The sequence below is a fragment of the Homo sapiens genome, chromosome 2 (genome assembly GCF_000001405.40).
Source record: "Homo sapiens chromosome 2, GRCh38.p14 Primary Assembly".
Classification (NCBI taxonomy): domain Eukaryota; kingdom Metazoa; phylum Chordata; class Mammalia; order Primates; family Hominidae; genus Homo; species Homo sapiens.
In genome coordinates this window covers 159,526,114-159,548,564 of record NC_000002.12, presented here as the reverse complement: position 1 = coordinate 159,548,564, position 22,451 = coordinate 159,526,114, and the positions used below count along the sequence as shown (strand labels likewise).

The window sequence follows — 22,451 nt, the reverse complement described above, 5'->3', positions numbered from 1 at the left end:
TTTTTTAAGATGCTAGGTACTTATTTGAAACTTTAACAATTTTAAAAGATATATCATTACATTCTACAGATGCCCAAACTGAGACTTGGAAAGGTCAAATATCTTTCCTAGTGTGTTGTAAGTGATAGTTAAGTCATTATCTGAAAAGTGCAAAAAATAGTCATTTCCAGAACAAGTTTACTATGTACTATCTGACCTTTATTTTTCACTTTTCTAATACCAAAAGTAGAGTTATAGTCAATTTTAAAATATCTTTAGTAAAATATAATAACAGTGATAAAACTGGAAGTGAAAATCTTTTTAAGAATTTCCATATTTTATAGCAAGTGACAAATCTAAAGGTGTTAAAATTTTAAAATGTAGTACAGTAACGTTATAAAATACATCCTAAACATTTTGTTTTCTAGAGTCTGAATATTTTGAACAGTATCTTCAAAATTAGTATGTAGCAGCCATTTCAGTTACTTCATGTAAATCTATTTCCCATTGCTATTCCTAAATGTATATTTGGATGAAAGAAACCCTCTCTTTACCTCTACTGCATTTTCTCAGAAGTTGTACTGTTTTAACATTTAACAATTAATGGAGCTAAAAGCATGCATGATGTTCTCTGTATGAGTGGCTGCATATATAAATAACACCATGCTGCACAGATATAAGTTTAGCTTCTTTTGAACAAGTCAAAATGTGTAATGTTACACAATCCCTTGATTTAAAGATAGATTCTGATTTATCAGAAAATTCTAAATGAGCTACTGTTTAATAAATCTGTCTTAAAAAAAGAAACTTTTACAGATCTAGGAATAATTATGGAAACATCAGAGAATATAAAATAAAAACCAGTTTTCTGCTGTGGTTTGATGTTTTCTTATTGTAATCAGCAGTGTCTAGCATATAGACTAGGTAAATATTTCCTGAATTAAGGTGACTTGAAATTTAATATGGCTAGTAAATTGTTTTCTTCCACTCACACTTTGTAGAACACCAATGCACACTTCTGCTGTGAGATATAAGAAATGCTAGTCAGGGAGTGGATAAAATATAACTGTAGTCTGCAGAAACTAGAGATGAGAAAATGGGTGTTGTACACTGAGTTATGGGTTTATGATATTTGACCTCTTTGTTCTTTTTATATAAATATACACAGAAAAAACCATGGAGGAGAAAGAATTTTGACAAAAATGGAAAATTTTTTTTGTTGTATAGCATCAAAAGTTTGCGAGTCATGAATGTTAAAAAAGTTTAACTAATACAAATATTCCTGAAGCTGTCCTTATGTGAATGCATTTTTAAATGCATTTTTAAAACATTACATCCATAGCTACATTTGCATCAGAATGTAAGATAGTATGTGTAAACTTTACAACATGCAAAGTATGCTGTTTATTTTGCAAATAGCACATCTCATGCTTGCAATTTTATTCTCTGATTTTCTTTCTCCTCAAGAGAAACCCCTCAACTTTTGTTCATAAAATTTACGATTTTTGTCTCCTCACTCCCCTTACCACTGAATATTTCCTGTGTGTCTTTTTTTCTAAACTCTAGTAGCTTTATATTTTCAGTGTCATCTTTATGGAAAGGAAATTTCAGAAAACGTAGACACTTGGCACTAAACTCAAATGTCACAGTTCATTTCAAATGTTACCTCCTCCATAAAACCTTTGGATCCTTTTCATTTGGAATTAATCTCCCTATCATTTCTGCCTTTCAGATTTGTTATTTCTGTTATGGCAATTTACTTCAACACAGGGGTACATGGACCTGAGTGTGCAAATATATTCTCCACAGGGAGAAAGAGGGCTAAAATTTCAATGTTAATATAAAATAAATCAGTATGAGCATATTCTTAGATCATGTGGTATGCCATGCCTACCTTACAACCAGTTACTACCATGTATTTTCAGGGCTATGATTATGTTTAATTATGTTAGTCTAATGAGAAAAGAACAAAAATAGATTTAATATTGTAAATGGTTCACTTGTATTAAGTGAAAGCCTGATGACATCAGAGTGAACTAAAAGTTTTGCAGTCATTTGAGTAGAAACAAATGATATTAAACCATTTAGGGCATACTAGATGTATTAGTCCATTTTCACGCTGCTGATTACCCGAGACTGGGCAATTTACAAAAGAAAGAGGTTTATTGGACTTACAGTTCCACGTGGCTGGGGAGACCTCAGAATCATGGTGAAGGAGTCACGTCTCACATGGATGGTGGCAGGCAGAGAGAGAAAGCTTGTGCAAGGAAACTCCCGTTTTTAAAACCATCAGATATCATAAGACTCATTCACTATCACAAGAACATCGCACGAAGGACCCGCCCCCGTAATTCAGTCACCTCCCACTGGGTTCCTCCCATGACGTGGGAATTGTGTGAGGTACAATTCAAGATGAGATTTGGACAGGGACGCAGCCAAACCATATCACTAGACTATAGGCATGTCAAACCAAAATGTAACTGAAAAATAATGGAGAAATAGCAGTCAGTACCATTTTTATGTTGACTATAATGATTCATTTTCACAAAAACATTGTATGATACTAACTTGAAATGTGCTATTCATAGCTTTTATGTGCATATTTGGAAATTGTTTTGGTATTGTATTTGAAATAAGATCTGGAAGCAAGAGGAATAGTTTATCCTTATCCGTAGTTGTATTTTTCTATATTTCAGTAACAATATAATAAGTCAGTCGGTGGAGGGTGTTTCACAAAACCTTTTTTCTGTCTTCATAAGGGGTTTATACATAGGTTAAGTTTCAGAAACGTTACAGAGTCCTTAGATCCTTACGTGATGATTATGTGTTCAGTTGTTTTACCTATTAGACTGTAAACTCCTTATAATCTAGTAAAGGCATAGATTATATTTTATTCATCCTTGCAGTTTCATTAGAGTCTGTCTCAGTACTTTTTCCTAGTAGTGACCCAGTAAATATCTATGCAACAAACTTGGCTTTGCTGGTGTGCAAAGTGTAATATAAGGAAAATTAGTGACATTTTTTGCCTTTTAGTGTGTAACTGGAATGTATAGTATAGAAAACAGAGAGATAGTATATATTTTAACAACTTGAAATTCATAGGTGTTAATAGATTCCTCTTTTTGAAATTAAATATCTCCTAGGATTTTGATCACTTACAGTGTTGTATGCACTACCTTAATTAGATAATCAGTTTTTGTCTTTTTCTTAGCTGAGATCTGTAGAGTGGCGACAGAGAATGAATGATTTCCTGGCAGGGTAGAACTAAGCAAGGAGATGTAACCAGAGTGCTTCAGGGAACAAGACATTGCATCATTGCAAAAATGTAGTTTTTTATATTAGAGCAGATTGAGAACACTGGTTCATCAGGGAAGTGGAGAGGCAGGAGAAGGGACTGGGAAGTGATATGGGAAGGTACTAAAGATAACATCTTCCACCTTTGGGCTATTGCCTAAAGTTACAGTGCCTAGACAACATTCCTTTTAACTTCAGTGGAAATAAAACTGGCATAAATTAAAATCCTCTCGAATAATATAGCAAGTACATTTTACTTTTCAGATTCTGTTATGATAGCTTTTTGTATAATGTTGCCACAGCAGAATTCAGCTGTCTTGCTAACTTTTTCAGTGTCTTATTTCCTACTTAAATTGAATTACCTATTCCTGAATTTCAAAGCCATTTAAATGTAGCCTTGTCCCTATCTACATAAATTAATTTCCCTCTGTTTCCAACACACATTCTTTTATAGTCAAAGCACTCCTTTAGCGACAAATATACTGACGATTTTGTCGGAATGTTTTTTTCCACATATTTCCTTTTCTCGAAGTGCCACTACCTCTCCTTACCCAATGCCAATCCATTCTTCAAAGAGGTCTTGTAGTCTTTAGTGATAAATGTGACCTTCATTAAGTTCCCTTTCCGCCCAACATTTGATCTTTATCTGTAGCTCCCCAGACCTCTCTTTTAAATTGCAGAACCTCCATTTGCAGCTCTCTATATAGGATTGGTACCTGGTTATCCCACAGACATGTAATTCAACCTGTTCAAACTTGAACTCATTTTCTTCTAATTTTCCAGAAACCTTCTCCTCTTTATATATTCCCTGTATTAGTCAATGATATCAACATCTACTTAGCCGCTCAAGGTAGAAATATTAGTTATCTTCAGCTTCTTCACAAATTCACATCTAAGCTGGTATCAAATCCTATTGATTCTCTATATGCATTGTAACAATAAGAGCTAATGTTAGTGGAGTGCTCACTGTGCGCCAGGTACTAATCTAAACTTTTGACCTGTAGTAAATTAATCCTCTTAACTCTAAGAGTTAGACACCATTATTATCACTGTTTTACATAAGAAAGAAATTATGTACTTGCTAACAAAAGTATGTACCTCCCCTATGAGGCTGTCCAGCCAAAGGAAAAAAAAAACTAAATATGATCAAGCCTAATTTACAGGAAATAAAAAGGAGAGAAGGACATGTTAAATTACACCAGGGGGACAGAGTCAGGAAAATCCAGACTGTGGAAAACTCTAAAAGGAAAAGGACCTAGTTTCTTTAGCTAAAAATAATAAGGAAGGAAAAAGAAAAGATTGGCTAGAGCATTTAGAGATTAAAAGAGACTTGAGTCATATCAGCCAGATCCAATATATGGATTTTATTTGAGTCCAGATTCAAACAAACAGGCAATTTAAAAATATAAGACAAAGAAATGTGTACATCGACTGAGTGTTTGATATGAAAGAATTGTTGGCCAGGCGCGGTGGCGCATGCCTGTAATCCCAGCACTTTGGGAGGCCAAGGTAGGTGGATCATGAGGTCAAGGGATCAAGACCAGCCTGGCCAACATGGCAAAACCTCGTCTCTACTAAAAATACAAAAATTAGCTGGGTGTGGTGGCGTGTGCCTGTAGTTGCAGCTACTCAGGAGGCTAAGGCAGGAGAATCCCTTGAACCCAGGAGGCAGAGGTTGCAATGAGCCTTGATCACACCACTGCACTCCAGCCTGGCAAAAGAGCGAGACTCCATCTCAAAAAAAAAAAAAAAAAAAGAATTGTTAAGATTTTAGGTATGATAATAATGTGGGGCTATTTGTTTATATAAAAAGCATAAGTCCATACCACAAAAGGATAAGCATCTCAGAGGCAAAGCTTGAGAGAGAAAAAAAAAGTATATTCATTATCACTTATTTTACTCAGTGTCTCTGATAATAAAGGATTTGCTAAAGGAGGTGATAGAACATTTAGCCTAATAGCATTATCATACCTAAAATAAATTTTTATTATTTTACCAATTCATACTTCTGCAAACAAAAAGATTATTATTGTATCATACCTCCTCAATAGTCAGTGTTTGTTTCACAGAAATATGGGAAATTCAAGGAAATAAGAACTAAAATTTTTAGAACCTCTATAAAATGATAATGATAATAATAAGTAATAGTCAACATTTCAGTGATTAATATGTGCCAGGCACCCTGTCATGAGTTTATAGCTTTAATTTATTTCATCCTCCGAACAACTTTGTGAGGGGGAGGTATCATTATTATTCTTACTTTACAGGTGGGAAAACTGAGCTATGGGGAAGTTAAGGAATTTTCCCAGAGTTACATGGCAATCAGTGAAGTTTAGGATTCAAACCCAGGCATTTGACATGGAGCCTGTGTCTTTATTGTTATGCTGCACTTCTTCTCTTTTTACTATGATGCTAGGTGCTTTTAATATTAATCTTATTTATTTCATTTTCCTGGGAAGGTCTTAATTTCTGTTTTATTTTCAAAATATAGTTTTGCTGGATATATTATAGAATTCTTGGTTAATAGTTCTTTGGATTTTTTTATTTTTAAGCACTTCAGATTTGTTTTTCTACTGCCTTCTTGCCTTTATGCTTTCAGATGACAAATCAGCTGTTAATCTTACTCATACTTCTTTATTTTTATTTTTATTTTTAGAGACAGGATCTTACTCTCTTGCCTGGGCTGGATTGCAGTGGTATGATCATAGCTCATGGCAGCCATGAACTCCTGGGTTCAAGCAATCCTCCCACCTCAGCCTCCTGAATAGCTAGGACTACAGGCATGTACCGGCACACCTGGCTTATTAATCTTATTGAAGATTCCTTGTACATAAGAACATAACAAGTTGCCTTTCTCTTGCTGCCTTCAAGATTTTCTCTGTGGCTTTCAATAGCTGATTATAATGTGTCTTTGTGTGGATCTCTTTGAATTTATCCTACTTGAAGTTCATTTAGCTTGTGGATATGGATATGTAGATTCATGTCTTTCTTCAAATTTGGGAAGTTTCCATCCACTATTTTTTCAAACATTGTTTCTACTCCTTTCTCTCTTTCTTCTCCTTTTGGCATATCCATAATGCATATTGGTCCACTTAATGTTGTCTTACAGGTTCCATAGGCTCTGTTCACTTTTGTTCATTCTGTTTTCTTCCTGTTCCTTAGACTGAATAATCTCAGTTGACCTATCTTCAAGTTTACTGGTTCTTTTCTTCTGCCTACTCATATCTGCTGTTAATCCCTCTAGTGAATTTTTCATTTTAGCTATCATAACTTTTAGCTCTGTAATTTCTATTTGGTTCCTTTTTAAAATTTCTGTTTCTTTATTGATATTCTCATTTTGTTCATACATTGTTTTCCTGGTTTCCTTTCATTCTTTTGTCTATGGGTTTCCTTTTGCTCTTTGAGCATATTTTAGATAGGGAATTTGTTGCTAGTAAACCTGCCTATAAGAAATGCCCTAATGGGAGATCTTCAGGCTGAAATGAGAGGAACCTGGACAGTAACTTAAAGGCATATGAAGAAAAAAAGAACTCCAGTAAAGGTTACTACTCAGATAAATAGGAAGGGAACGTAGCACTTTGAAGGAAAGAACTAAAAGCCAGTATGACTGGAGTACAGAGAGCAAGGATTGCAGTTTGAGATAAGCAACCAGAAAATACAGGACATAGTAGACCATAATGAGAACTTCTGTTTGTTTAATAACAAGGACTTTTGGCTGGCCGCAGTGGCTCACACCTGTAATCACAGCACTTTGGGAGGCTGAGGTGGGCAGATCGCCTGAGGTCAGGAGTTTGAGACCAGCCTGGCCAACATGGTGAAACCCCGTCTCTACTAAAAATACAAAAAATTAGCCAGGGATGGTGGTGGGCACCTGAAATCCCAGCTACTCTGGAGTCTGAGGCAGGAGAATCACTTGACACAAGAGACAGAGGTTGCAGTGAGCTGAGATCATGCCACTACACTCCAGCCTGGGCAACGGAGCGAGACTCCATCTCAAAACAATAATAATAATAATAATAATAATAATAATAAGGGCTTTTGTTTGTTTACCCTAGAGCAATGGGAAATGTTTGAAGTATGTTTAAATTATCAACAACCCGATTTTAATTGAGGCTTATAGAAGTTAAATAACTCTCTCAAGGTCATACAGTGATTAAGCAGTAAAACAAAGGTCATAATCCAGGAATGTTTGGATCTAACATCTGTATCACCCCATTTCTTAGAAATACAAATCTAGGAAATGTGTAAAAAATTTAAAGGCTGAAGTTTCTGTGACCTGATGTTATTATTATTTCAGCAGATGAATGCCTACTATGTTGAGAGATGTGATTTTACCCTTTGCAAATGTAGTCACATTTACATTAATTTTGTTAGCTCTGCTTGTGACTTGTTGCTTCTCAGTAAACAGGTGAACCACAGTTTTCAACAGTGAACATTAGAATAAAGATAGGTTTGATCTATTCTTATGATTTCTTCTACTTTTCAGTTCCTGCTCTCTAAGGGAGAACTAACAATGAAGGTACTTATATACCAGATAGTTTCCAAGTATCGTTTTGTCTTAGACTTAGTGAAATTAAGTAACTGCTCCTAGTTGACATAACTAGTACTGGTTGTAACTAAGATTCAAATTCATATTTCACTAACTGAAGACCATGCTGTTTTTACTACAATACTCTCAAAGGATATAAAACTAACTTGTGTTCAAGAGACCTTAGTATGGATATTTAGAAATAGAAAACATCATCCTCAGTGCATACTTGCTAGTTGATTGAATGACAGAAACAGGATTATGAAAGAAAAGAATTCTAGAATCAGCTAGTGTGTGCCCTGAGGTGATCTTATGAGACACATTCTTCAACCCACTTATATACTGCCAATCTCTCTCATTTAATTATCTTTATTTTTGTGTACCTCAGTTGTAGTATTGATATTCAGTAAGGAAAGAGACATGAAGAAAGCTATCAGATGGAAAGTTGTTTGGTCTCAAAGATTCTGCCTGACAGCACATTCCTAGGTAGGAATTTTTAGCCATTTATTCATTTAGTCATTATATTGTATGCTTCACATACTGTCACTCATTCACTCATTTATTCATTCTACAAATAATTTATGGAGTGCTGCTTGTGTGTTTCCACTGTCTAGATATTGGGGTTACTGTGGTCAATAAGATGAAGTTTCTTCTGTCATTAAGTTTACTTTCTACTGGGGAGAAGTAAACAAATATATAAGTAAAATATTCTCAATTATTGATAAGAGCTCCAAACAGGGATGGAGGAAGGAAAATGTGATAGCATATACAGGTAGTCAGGTAGAATTGAGGGCAACATACATATAACAGTCAGGGAAGGTCTCCCTGATGAGGTAACACTTGTGTTGAGAAATGAATCACCAGAAAGAGCCAGGTGTCGTGTTGTGAAAATCAGAGGTTATAGTGATCACAGTGCCAGTGAGGCTGGAATGTAGTGAGCTGTGGGAATAAAGGTAGGCAGATATCATTTAAAAAAAAAGTTTAAGCTTCTTTCTAATGTGAAGAGAAGCCACTGGAAGATGTTTCATTTGATTTTAGTTTTTTAAATTAAATACAGACAGGGTCTCAGTATGTTGCTGAGGCTGGTCTTGAACTCCTGGGCTCAAGCAGTCCTCTTATCTCAGCCTTTGACTCCAAGTGCTGGGATTACAGGCATGAGCCACCATGGCTAGCCTGGAAGATTTTTTTGGTTGGTTGATTTTAATAATCCCTCCACCACCATGTTTAATTTGAGACTGTTTCATATTCAGCTTTTCTCCTAGTGGAGATTTTTATGGAGGACACTAGTACATAAATGGTATTAAAGCATTATTATAAATTCTTTATGCTGTGTATGAATTTATATTTTTGGTTGCATTCTTCTGTGTTGCCCCTAAATTATTTGCCCTTGCTGGCATATTTAAGAAACTTCCATTATCTTGAAGAGAAATTCATGGTTATGATTTATTCCTTGATTTAATAAGCATTATGTTCTTTTTGAGTTACTTACTAAATTTATAAAAGTAGAAAATGCACTGTTCTTCTTTTCTTCATTAGGAGCTTATCTTCTACTGGAGAGACAGACACATAAACTGGTCATTATAGCTGTGGTAGATGGCACAGTAGAGGTGTATGTTTAATGTTTTTTGACTATAGAAAGCATGATATGATCCTTATGGGTGGGAAAGGCCACATCAAAAATATTCACTCTATGGAGATTTCCGCCCCCTGCGTTTTGAAGCAGAGTATAGGTATCACTATTTGAACAGTGATGCTGATGCTGCAAAAAATATGTAAAAACAGTTTATGTTTTCCAACTTTATAGGAAAATAAAGTAGTATCTGTCTTAAGACACATGGAAAAGTTGAATTCTCTTGGAAGTAGAGAGTGAAAAAGCGTTATGTTGCATTTTGTTACTGTTGTCCTCTTCCCCTTCCTTTTTCCCTCATCCCTTTTCTTTTGTATTTGTAAGTTTACATAAGGTGAGAAGATAAAATGTTAAAAGTTTTGAAGGCAGGCTTCATAGCAAATTTTGCCACTATGTTTTTTGAGTATTGGGCTGTATGATTATAAACAAAGGAATTGATTTATCTCTGATCATGTGATAATGTCCTCTGTTGGTCCTCAACTGGGTGCCTAGATCTTTCCCCAATTCAAAACCCTAGGTATAGATATACAATGCTTTTTTGCCATAATATTAAGCAGACACTTTCATAAGTAAGACACACCAGAGTGGTACATGAGAATGCCTGTACAACTGGAATGGGCAACATGACCATAGAGAAAATGATGTGATTTTTAAGTGTGTTTGCCAAGAAGCAGGAGGAAGGCTCTTAGAAAGTTAAATCTAGTCAGATTCCTAAAATGAAAATGCAGTTACAAATAAATGCAGAGTACCACATGCAAGGATTAAATCAAAAAAGACTGTGGTGTTGTGCAAATATTTCATATATACAGTGAGTATTAAAAGAAATGATAAAAACAGCAGACATAGCAGAATTTCAGGTGAAGATCAGAAGCCTTTCTATAAAATTGACCTTTAAAGTTAATTGCACATACAGGAGTTCGAGTCCAGCCTGGGCAACATGGTGAAAGCCCTGTTTCTACTAAAAATACAAAAATTAGCCAGACATGGTGGTGCGTACCTGTAGTCTCAGCAACCAGAGAGGCTGAGGTGGGAGGATCCCTTGAACCCAGGAGACAGAGGTTGCGGTGAGCCAAGATCGGGCCACTGCACTGCAGCCTGAGCAACAGAGTGAGACTCCTCCTAAACAAACAAACAAACAAAAAAGTTAATTGCACATAGTATTTACTCATGAAACCAGCCTCTTCCTACAGAAGACAATTTCTAACATAGAAAGGATTTCATGAGACTGAGGAAGAGGACAATAGGCTCCTAAAAAAAGATGGTAGATTAACATACACACTTACTTCAGCTAACTGTTGAAGCCCCATTAATTATATAGGAAAAAAAAATTTTCAAAAAGGCATAAGCAAAGAAACAGGAGAAGAATGAATACCAACAAAATTCTGGAAGCTGGAGAGCAATAGATAAATAGTAACTGATTTATCAGATTGAGAGAACCGAATAACTGAATTATCAGATGACAGTGAAGAAAGCCTAGAAAAAACAGTTTACACATTTGAAACTCCGAAAGGCTCAGCAATTAGCAGTTGTGTGTATCTCTAGAATGGGCAGGAGGGAAGAAGAAGGTTATAGTTATAGGTACAGGCGAAGCTCTACATATAAAAACTATATGAAAATGGGAAATGTTTATTAAACATTCATTAAACATACAAAGTCTGTTCAATTAGTTAGATTCCTCAGTCTCCTCCACTTAACACAGACAGGTAACAGTGCCTCATTTATCCCTTTATCCAGAAGAAGACTGAAAGTCAGACCTTTGGGGATGTACAGTTCAATCACATTGGTGTACGGTCATCACCACCATCCATCTCCAGAATTCTTTTCATCTTTCAAAACTAAAAGTCTATGCACATTAAACAATAATGCCTCATGACCACTTTCCCCTGGCCCTTGGTGACCCACCATTTTACTTCCTGTCTCTATGATTTTGACTACTGTAAGTACCTCGTATATGTGAGATCATACAGTATTTGTCTTTTTGTTACTGGATTGTTTCACTTAGTATCATGTCCTTGAAGTTTCATGCATGTTGTAGCATGTGCCAGAATGTCCTTTCGTTTTAAGGCTGAATGATACTCCTGTGTGTGTGTGTATGCCATATTTTATTTACTCATTCATCTGTGGATGGACTCTTGGGTTGCTTTTGCCTCTTCACTATCGTGATATCGACATTTTAAAGTGATATTTTTATTTTGTTTATTAAACATAGATTAAATTTTGCTGTACCACATGTAAATATTAAAGATTGCTTTCGTTTGCTGATGTTTGAAGTTCTTTCAATGTCAACAAATAAACTGGTTTGTTTTTGTAATTTTTGTCGTAATTCAGAAAACATAATTGTATCCACTTTGGTTATTATATAAAAGTAATTATCATTACTTTTTTTCTTAACATTGGTTTTTGAAATAAAAAAGACATCTTGATGTGCCATGTAAAAACTTTGAGCAGTTACACGCAACTGAAGAATTTAGCGAAGATCTTCTTCCTTCATTGGCTTTCATTTTCCTATTAGTTCACCTCATGCTTCTATTCTTTCAACAAATTTTAAAATGCAAAAAATTCAGAACCATCGTGGTAGCTATCTCCGTGTGACACAGGGATTGAACACTCTGATCTGATTGCCACTCACTAACACACATGGTATGCATTTAAATTTCTCAGCCTGTTCTTTCTGGGTTACTGAGAAATACTCTTATTTTATTTATTATTAGAAATACAAATTTAAATACGCTATTATTTCATTAAAAATATGAACACTTAGAAAATTTTCCATTTAAAGTATTTGATTGTGGCTGATCTGAGAGCCCTGGTGTTTACACCTAATTGTTCACAACCAGTGACAGATTTCTTTGTTTTTTTCTCCACTCCCACTACTTTGCTTGACTAGCCTTAAAAAAAGTAAATAAATAAAAATCAATCAATCAATAAATATTTGATTGTGAGCTCCTTGTGGTCAAAACTACCTTATTCACATATGTCTGTTCAGTGTTGGAACTTAACCCCTCAAACTTGTTTACAATAAATATTCACTGGACTAAACAGGTTTTTAATGTATATTTGTAGTTAGTTGCTCATGTGTTCAGCAAATCTGTATATAATTTCACACATACTGTGGATCAGTTACTTTCTATTAATTATTCTTTTCTAATGTGCCATTTAAAAATAAAGCATTAATGTATGAGAACTTGGGGACCAATTACCAAATCACTACAGCAGCAATAAATCACAAACCTTTGCCACACAGATATGTTTAGCACTGGCTAAAGATTCAGACAGACAATTGCAGAAGTGACCTGGTAGCTGCAGACCATTTTCTAACATGGATTTTGCTTTGAGGAGTGGAAAAAGAATTGATTTTATTTTAGTAAAATGTTAATAATGAAGAGAGAATATTAATGTCTTTAAAGAGAGCTGGGGTTCATTATTATCTGAAGTTGTATTTTTATAGGTAACACTCAGAACATTTCTAATTAATTTTGTTTGTCTTATTTTAAGTACTATACTGTGATCATTTTTACATACTGATAATGAGCTTTTAAAGCAAAATAGAGAAAGTTTATTGAGTCATAATATTCTTCAAATAAAATAAAGGTGTATTTTTCTTTTCTTTTTGAGACAGAGTCTCACTGTTCTGTCACCCAGGCTGAAGTGCAATGGCGCAATCTTGGCTCATTGCAACCTCCACCTGCCGAGTTCAAGCAGTTCTTTTGCCTCAGACTCCCCAGTAGCTGGGATTACAGGCACATGCCACCATGCCCAGCTAATTTTTGCATTTTTAGTGGAGACGGGGTTTCACCATATTGACCAGGCTGGTCTTGAACTCCTGACCTCAAGTGATCCGCCCACCTCAGTCTCCCACAGTGCTGGAATCACAGGCGTGAGCCACCGCGCCCAGCCAGGTGTATTTTTCATAAGCAAGAAGTCATCTTGGAGATCAAAGTCCATGAGTATATAGAAATATTTTTCCCAAAGAGCAAAAATTTACCTCACTGGAACATATGTAGCACTTGCCAATTTAATTATATCTTTAGTTGTGTATATGTTAATAGTAAGTACTGAAAAATTAAGAGTAATAAGCTCTGGTATATGATTTTAATTATTTATTATTGGCATACTTATTTTAATGGAAGAAATAAGACAAGTTTCTAGAAGTTAACTTTTCCCTTTTTTACGTTTGTTAAATTTACTTCCCTATAAAAATTGTTTATTGATTTAGAACTTATGTTTGGAGGCCAGGTGTGGTGGCTCACACCTGTAAGCCCAGCACTTTGGGAGGCCGAGGCAGGTGGATCGCCTGAAGTCAGGAATTCGAGACCAACCTGGCTAGCATGGTGAAACCCCTTATCTACTAAAAATACAAAAATTAGCTGGGTGCAGAGGTGCATGCCTGTAGTCCCAGCTACGCGGGAGGCTGAAGCAGAAGAATTGCTTGAACCTGAGAGGTGGGCGCCACTGCCCTCCAGCCTGGCGACAGAGCGAGACTCCGTCTCAGAAAAAAAAAAAAAAGAAGAAATTATGTTTGGAGTACAAATTATTTCAGAATACAATGTCACAGGAGGCATAATGATGTTTTGGTCAAGGACAGACTGTATATATGACAGTTGTCCCATAAGATTATAATACCATAATTTTACTTTTTCTTTTCTATGTTTAGATATGTTTACCTATACAAATACTTTTCATATTCACATTTCAGGCCTATTTCTATTAGAAACACCATTGTGTTACAGTTGCCTACAGTATTCCATACAGTATCATGCTGTACAGGTTTGTAGCCTAGAAATAACAGGCTATACAATATAACCTAGGTATGTAGTAGTCTTTACCATCTAGGTTCACGTAAGTACACTCTGTGATGTTCATACAACAAAATCACCTAACAACACGTTTCTCAGAACATATACCTGTGGATAAGTGATGCATGACTGTAAATTCTGTTTAGTAAATAAAATTGTTTTACTCTATTTGCTTTACACATCCCTTCAGAAACACACTTTATAAGTCCCCCATGTATTTGGAATCATAACATAGGAATAGATACAAGGTTTTTACTTGAAATTATGAGGAATCATTGTGCAAAAAATAACAGTATGAAATATTTATAGAATTTTAATTTGATTACGGCCTCTCGTTAAAGGAAAACTTACAATATTTATTCTGTTAACCACAGTTTTCAGATTACAGTTCAGTTTTAGCTTTCGTTAGAAATGTTAAGTAATGATTTTCTTAGTATGTGGCTTAGTCTACATTAAAAGTCCATTTTTGTTTCACATACATTCATTTTTATCTCACCAATAAAGTTATGATATGCTTAAACATGGAAACTGTATATCTTTTGGTTTACTCTTAGTTGCTCATAAAGGATATTTAATGAATGACCAGCTAGTGGCTGAAGCAGGATCAGAAATGCCGGGTTAATTCTGAAATCTCTGATTCTGCTTTTAGTTTTGTGGCAGTTGTGTTATTAGTTATACTTGTTTGGTGAAAATCTTTCTTCTTCTTTTTTGTTTATAAAGTACTTTGTACTTTTCAGCCTTTCATATGTGTAAAAAATGTTAAATCAGTCAAGATTAAGAAGGGATTTTGAAAGATTGCCTGCTTCTACAACTTGAAGTTTGTGGGGAAATTAAGATAATGTGTTATATATAAAGCTGAAAATAATGATGAAAATGATCATAAGTTTAGCACTTTCATTTTGGAAAACCAAACCTCAGAGTGACTTGATCTATATTGCACAGCTAGTTTACGGTGAGACTCTGGTATTGGTGTCGAATTCCTAGTCCAGTGTTCTTTTTCTGAAAATTAAGTGACTTTCTTCAATCCTCTTTAATGTATTCTATTCTTCTTTCCGTATTGTTTTAGAAAAAGGATTATGTATCAGGCCTATTACTGTTAATGGTTTCACCATTTCCCACAACAAGATAACAACTCTTGATACCACTTTAGATTGCTGTTTTCTCTAGCTTCAAATAATCAAAACTTAAAAGTGCCTGTGATCTATCTTCAATATCTTTTGCATCCTTTGTTTTCCTTTCACTCCCACCACCACCCTATCAGGTCATGCTTAGATTGCCATATTAATTTACTTTCTAGTTTCTCTGTCTCCAGTATCATGTCTCCTATTCTTACTTTTTGTGGATAACAATGCCACATAAACACATCTGAAGTCATGATTTTGTTTTTCGCACCTTTGTTTATGGTATTTCCTTTTTCTGGGAGATACTTTTTCTGTCTCTCCATGTATATTTTAATGTTGCACATTCTTGGAGACTCAACTAAAATCTCATTTCCTTCTCCGTACTGGCCATGTCTACCTAAAACGAGTGTGACTTGTAAAATCTGGGGCCAGGTAGCATGTGTAATCATTTGACATCTTGACACAGAATCCTTTTATCAGAGAGTGCCAGAGCAGAAAAAGACCTTAGATATCACTTATAATGGTCACTTAACTACAGGTGAGTTAGTGGTTTTTCTGGAGTTAAATGATTAACATAAGTACTTAGAGATTTCAGGGCAGAGATGCAAGTAAACTTAAGTCCCTAACTTCTAATTCCAAAATTCCTTCTTATGTAACACACTTCCTATCACTGTACAGTGCATTGTCTTTTTAGATGCTTGTTCATGAGTGCATTTATTATTTCCGCAGTTTGAGGCCATGAGTCTTGTTTTAAACTTTTTTGTTCTCCCCGTAATATTTTGCACATAATAGGCCTTAATTCATTTTTTATTTATTTGGTAGAGAACATTTACTTTCAGATAAAAGTGTAAGACTTTATTTTCATTTGTACGGATATTATAGCCAAGGATTTTACTGCTTTTGTTTAAAAGGATGGAAGAAGTGTTTTTAATAGTTCTTGGTAGTTAGCATTCTACAAAATATAATTGAAAAATTCTCTGGTTTTATTTTATTACTATGTAAATGGGTTTCACTTGTTTAAAATGTTAAAAAACATTGATTAGAGTACAAAACTAGAAATGTTATCAATATTTCTTCATTGTTTTAGTGTTTTCAATTTCTAAGGAAATAAAATATTTTATAAAAAATAATTTTGTGGCAGATTGTTAAATGGAAATACAATGTACTTCTGTTGTCTTAGTTTCTAAGCCATTGAAAACTATGTCAAACTAAAGTCATTTTAGGTTTTAAAGTTTTAGGAATATATTTGATTTCAGGTACATAAAGCAAAAGGAATTATAGGAAAGTATATGTAAGTGTATAGATAATTGAATATATACACTTTAAAATTCTTTTGCAAGTTAGCATGAATAAAAATGGTACTTTAGAGAGCAGCTTAAATACCTCTCAGGTGAATAAAGCATGGGCTTCATGCTTGTAGTTGGGGATATATGTATCATCTGCTGTAGATGTATTACAAAGGTGATGTCAAGGTGAAAGCAGGCTTGCAGAATGGTTGGAAATCATTGATATTCTGACTTGGAGGCTGTAAATGGCTCGGTGGCAGATGGAGTCTTTGTCAAGGAAGAAAAATGGCAGCTTTGGAGCACATAGATGTTTTGCTAGCAGCTCAGCATATAGGCTGTGACCTTCTAGTATTCAGGAGTCTTTTCCATGGTCTAATAAATTGTTCTCAGCTTTTATTCACCTAAAGTAGATAAATAGTTGTCATCACATTTCAGTACAAATTGAGGTGTTTCATTATAAAGAAACATAAATATATTTTATTGTCTACTTTTTAAAGAAATAAGCTTTTAAGAGAATGTGCATTTCTAGTATCAGAAATATTTCTCAGTTGGTTTGCAAAAGTAAAAACATCTCATAGAAGTTTTTCAATCAAAAAAATTGATCGAAAAAAATTTTTTTTAGAATCACAGAATATTAAAGCCTAACAGTGTGCTAAAAACCCTGGACCAGTCCACTCATTTTCCAGATGAGGAAAGTAAGGGTCAGAGAGTGTGACTTAACTAAGACTACTTAGCTAGTTTATGACTCTTAAATTATGACTTGTTATAAAATATCTTTAGTTACAGGTAAAACTCTCTTTAAATAAAACATAATACCCACAGAATACACCTAATTATTCATGACAGATGCATAATGATAATAATAATTTCAGAGACTTTTATTTATTTTTCAATTGCAGGTATTTTTACTGGAAGGAATTCAGAATTTTCATTTTAATTTGCTTTTTGTTTGTTTGTTTGTTTGTTTTGAGACGGAGTCTCTGTTGCCCAGGCTAGAGTGCAGTGGCGCATTCTTGGCTCACTGCAGCCTTTGCCTCCTGGGTTCAAGTGATTCTCCTGCCTCAGCCTCCTGAGTAGCTGGGATTACAGGCATGCGGCACCATGCCTGGGTAATTTTTGTATTTTTAGTAGAGACAGGGTTTCATCATGTTGGCCAGGCTGGTCTCAAACTCCTGATCTCAAGTGATCCACCAACCTTGGCCTCCCAAAGTGCTAGGATTAAGGTGTGAGCCACTGCACTCGGCCTTACTTTGCTATTAATATATTGCTATATAGAAAAATTTTGATGAATGGAGAGTTTATATCTGGATTATAAAGTTATATATGCATAACTCTGTTGTTATTCCTCAATAAATATTTTATATGAAGCAGAACCAATTAAAGTATATATCTTGTGTTAACTTATTTGGGTATTTTTTAAAGTCCTTTCTTGTAGAAATATTGCATTTTATATTAAAATATTTAAGGGTTTTATAGATTATTTATAGATATACTGAGATATTTTGAAAAATTGCTGCATTTATCAGTGAGCATTTCTTTCCGTTTTAAGGGGAATATATGTCACTATGAGAGTATTATGTGAAATACGTTCAGCTGGACAGTTGATCTATACTGAAGAGTAATAAGTCATGGTTAAAATTAAAAGTAGAGGCATTACACACCTAAAACCTATGAAAGCACTTAACAATTGCAAAAGTTATAGAAAGAAATCACTGTACATCACAAAAGAAAGTGACTCTGTTTTAGAGGGTGAAGGTTACTACTTTCAATATTATAGGTAGTCCTTTGCAGGCCAGTGTCTAAGGAAGTGCTAAAGAGAAATTTAAGAAGTTATACTAAAATGACTGTGCATTTTCTAAAGATATAATTATGTAGCAATTTTAGATTTGTTTTTGATGAAGAGAAAAGTTTGAAAAGTTAGAGTTGAAAGCTTCCAAAATCCTCACTTTTTTTAAAGGATAAAACTGGTGAGATCTTTCATATTGAATGTGGACATGAAAAATATGAAAAACAAAATCATAAGTGAAAATACTGTTTTTATCAATGAATATGTTGATATGTAGGTATTTTACCTATTATCTACTTTAATATAAAATAAATACAATCAGAGGTTATATGATGATCACTAAATTCTTCAACAACTATTAAGTGCCTAGTTACTTGCATGTGCTAAGGATAAGGTACTAAACAACAGCGACTCTGCACTCATGGAGCTTTTCATTCTATTGGTGAAAGAGATAAATAAGTTGTATGTAGTATATTAGATGGCAACTAACACTTAGGAGAAAGGTAAAGCAAATTAAGAGTCATGAGTATGAATTAGCCAGGGGTATGAATTAGTATTTGTTACAGATTGGCTACTGAAGACCTCTCCAATAAGATGACAGTTTTGCAGAGATCTTAAGGAAGTGAGGGAGTTGAGCCATGTAGATACCTGGGTGAGAACTGTTCCAAAGAAAACAGTAAATGCCACGATACTGAGAGAGATTGTGCTTTGCATATTCCAAGAATAATAGGGAAATCAGGATGGCTAGAGTTGGTGAGCAATGAGAGAGAGTTACAAAGGAAGCCAGAGAGATTTCACATAAATGAACATTTAAGCATATGTCTTTTTTTTTTTTTAAAGAGAAGATTGAAGCTTAACCAAAGCCCACATTGTTGCCAAACCAGTGGTACCCAAAGTAGTTTTGGTAGAGCATTGGTTGTATGGAGTATTTCATGAAAAAAGGTTCCATGGTCAAGTAAGTTTGGAAGACATAGGGTTAATGTTAAAAGGTTTTGTTTTATTTATTTTTTTATGTATATTTTTATTTTTTTACTTATTATACTTTAAGTTCTAGGGTACATGTGCACAACGTGCAGGTTTGTTACATATGTATACATGTGCCATGTTGGTGTGCTGCACCCATTAACTCGTCATTTACATTAGGTATATCTCCTAATGCTATCCCTCCCCCCACCCCCACCCCCCCACAACAGGCCCTGGTGTGTGATGTTCCCCTTCCTGTATCCAAAGGGTTTTGTTTTATTTAACAACTTTTTCTGAGCCTTTTAAAATGTGTTAATGTGTTTTGTGAACCTCCAACTTATTTGACCCTTCCTTCAAAGAACATCTTATGGGACTAGTGTTTTTCATGCTTTGGTAAGTGCTGTATTAGACAATCCTACAGGTTAACTAGAGGTTAATAAAAGGATTTTCTACAATCGATTGCTGTTTCATAACTTCTCTACTATTCTTTTTTTTTTTTTTTTGAGACAGAGTTTCGCTTGTCACCCAGGCTGGAGTACAGTGGCGCGAGCTTGGCTTACTGCAACCTCCGCCTCCCAGGTTCAAGTGATTCTCCTGCCTCAGCCTACTAAGTAGCTGGGATTACAGGCACTCACCACCACACCTGGCTAATTTTTCTATTTTTAGTAGAAATGGGGTTTCACCATGTTGGCCAGGCTGGTCTCAAACTCTTGACCTCAGGTGATCCAACCGCCTTGGCCTCCCAAAGTGCTGGGATTATAGGCATGAGCCACTGCACCTGGCCTTCTCTACTGTTCTCGGCCTGTTTTTAACAAAGACTACATTTCTTTTTTTCCCCCTAAATATTTCTCAAATCCATCTTTCCTTCTCTGTTCATGATGCTTAAATCTTAATGTAGATTTGCATCATGTCTCACCTGGGCTGTCACAGTAACCCCCTAACTAGTGTCTCTGCCCCTAGTCTTGCTGTGTCCAAGTTCATCATCCTCTCAATGATGATATAATTGACATCACAAATCAAACTAGGTTATTTACCTACTTAAACTCCTTATTAGCTTCCAACCACTACAGAATAAAATTTAATCTCATTTACAGGGTATATGAAATCTTCCACAGCCTGTCTCCTGCTTACATCTAAAAGTAATGCCTCAATCTCCCATACTTAGTCTCCAAATGTTAAATGATTTATACTTCCTTAAAGCAAGAGGTGTGTATATAGTCCTTTTGCCTTTACTGAGTGCTGTTATCCCTTCCTGACATAGCCTTCCCCTGTGAGAAGGCTTCCAAGTTTAGAGCAAATGTAGTCTACAGAAACACTCTCAAGCTCTTCCTGGGTAAGTCAGGTGCACTCATGTATAACTCTTATCAAAACACTGAAAATAGTGAAATAAAAATATATATTTGTGTTTTTTCTCCTGTGTGTATCTGATACTGATACTTTGTAACTGTGCTAAGTGCCTACTACTTTAAGTAGTATCCACTTTAAGTGGATACCCAGTAAATGTTGAAATTAACTAGACAAAGTAGTTGAAGTCCTGATGAAAAGATTGTTCAGTTCTTCTTCTCCTGTAGCTCAGAACCTGTTTGGATCATACATTTAAATGTAGAAATATAAAGCTTTTAGAAGAAAACATAGGTGAAAACCTACAAGACAAAACTTGGTGAAGAGTTTCTCCATGTGATGCAAAAACATGATCCATAGAAGAAAGAAATCTGTAAATTGGACTTTATCAAAATTAAAAACATTTGCTTTGCAAAATGCCCTGTTAAGATGATGAAAAAACAAACTACATACTGGGAGGAAATACTTGAAAACTGCTTATCTGACAAAGGACTCTTATCTAGGATATATAAAAACTAAAAACTCAATAGTAAAAAGGCAAACAGTCCAATTAGAAAATGGGCAAAAGATATTCATTTCGCCAAAAAGGTTATACGGATGTCAGCTGAACACATGAAAAGATGTTCAGCATCACTAGCCGTCAGAGAAATTGAAAAATGACATATTACCACACACCTATTAGAACAGTTGAACTCTTGCTTGAACCCAGGAGTTTAAGACCAGCCTGCACAACACAGCAAGACCCTGTCTAAAAAAATTAAAATTAAAAATAGCGACAATATGAATTGCTGGCAAAGATATGAAGAAATCAGACTCTCATACATTACCAGTGGGAATGTAAAATGGTACAACCACTCTGAAAAATAGTTTGCAGTTTCAAAAAAAAAAAAAGGAAGAAACACACACTTACTATATAAGCTAGTGAGCAGAGATTCCACTGCACTCCAGCATGGGTGATAGAATGAGACCCTGTCTCAAAAGCAAAAAAACAAAAAACTATTAGGTTTTTTTCCTTCTACCTCCCTACCCATATCTGAGAAATGAAGTGTTTCACCTCCTTACTAAACCTAAAACTTCATGCTTTTTTATTTTTATTCATTTCTGCCTTCTCTAGAGGCTTGTTTCATGATCTGCCAAAAGACATTCATTTTTCTCCCTCATGACTGGTTTATTTCATTGTTATCCAAAGGATTGTCCTGGCATGAAATAAAGTGATAAACAGAAGTGCAAACAAAACCTTAAACCTTCACTTCCCTCAAGTGTTTGTGTTAGCATATTAAAGATATATATCTATGTTAATATAAGTAGCTCTATGTCATTCATTTTAACTACCATATAGTATTTCATTATAAAAACATACCGTGATATTTTCATTTTTTCATTTTCCAATATTTCCAAGGTTTTACTCTACAAGTAGAACTGCAATTTACATTCGTATACATGACTTTTTATGTGCATGTATGGGAACTTTTCTGGGTGAGATATCTAGAATTACTGTATTACGGTCTACATGCTGCTTTGACTTTACTATATGTTGCCTAATTTCTTTCTATATAATTGTACCAGTTTATGTGATCAATGCATAAAAGATTTCTGCTCTACTTTTTTGGCATTTGCTTAATTTTTGTATTCCTACTTTCTGCATATAAAGGCTGCTTTGAAGTCCAATAAATTTTACTTCTACAATACAATTTTTACATTTCTTTCTCTAGTTTAACCAGCTAGGAAGT

General features: G+C 34.8%; 1 protein-coding gene across 21 annotated transcripts in view; it reads left to right on the top strand.

The window, feature by feature from the left end:
- BAZ2B (bromodomain adjacent to zinc finger domain 2B) overlaps window positions 1-22,451 on the top strand; it is a 397,131-nt gene that overhangs the window by 163,878 nt on the left and 210,802 nt on the right. For 2 of the 21 annotated variants that reach the window (XM_047444051.1, XM_047444037.1), the window contains exon 1: window positions 7,284-8,287. The exons of the other annotated variants lie outside the window; for them this stretch is intronic. In XM_047444051.1, the coding sequence (XP_047300007.1) occupies window positions 8,239-8,287 (49 nt within the window). In that variant the 5' untranslated portion in view covers window positions 7,284-8,238. Of the gene's footprint in view, window positions 1-7,283; window positions 8,288-22,451 lie in introns of those variants that run through there. 21 annotated transcript variants of the gene reach the window in all.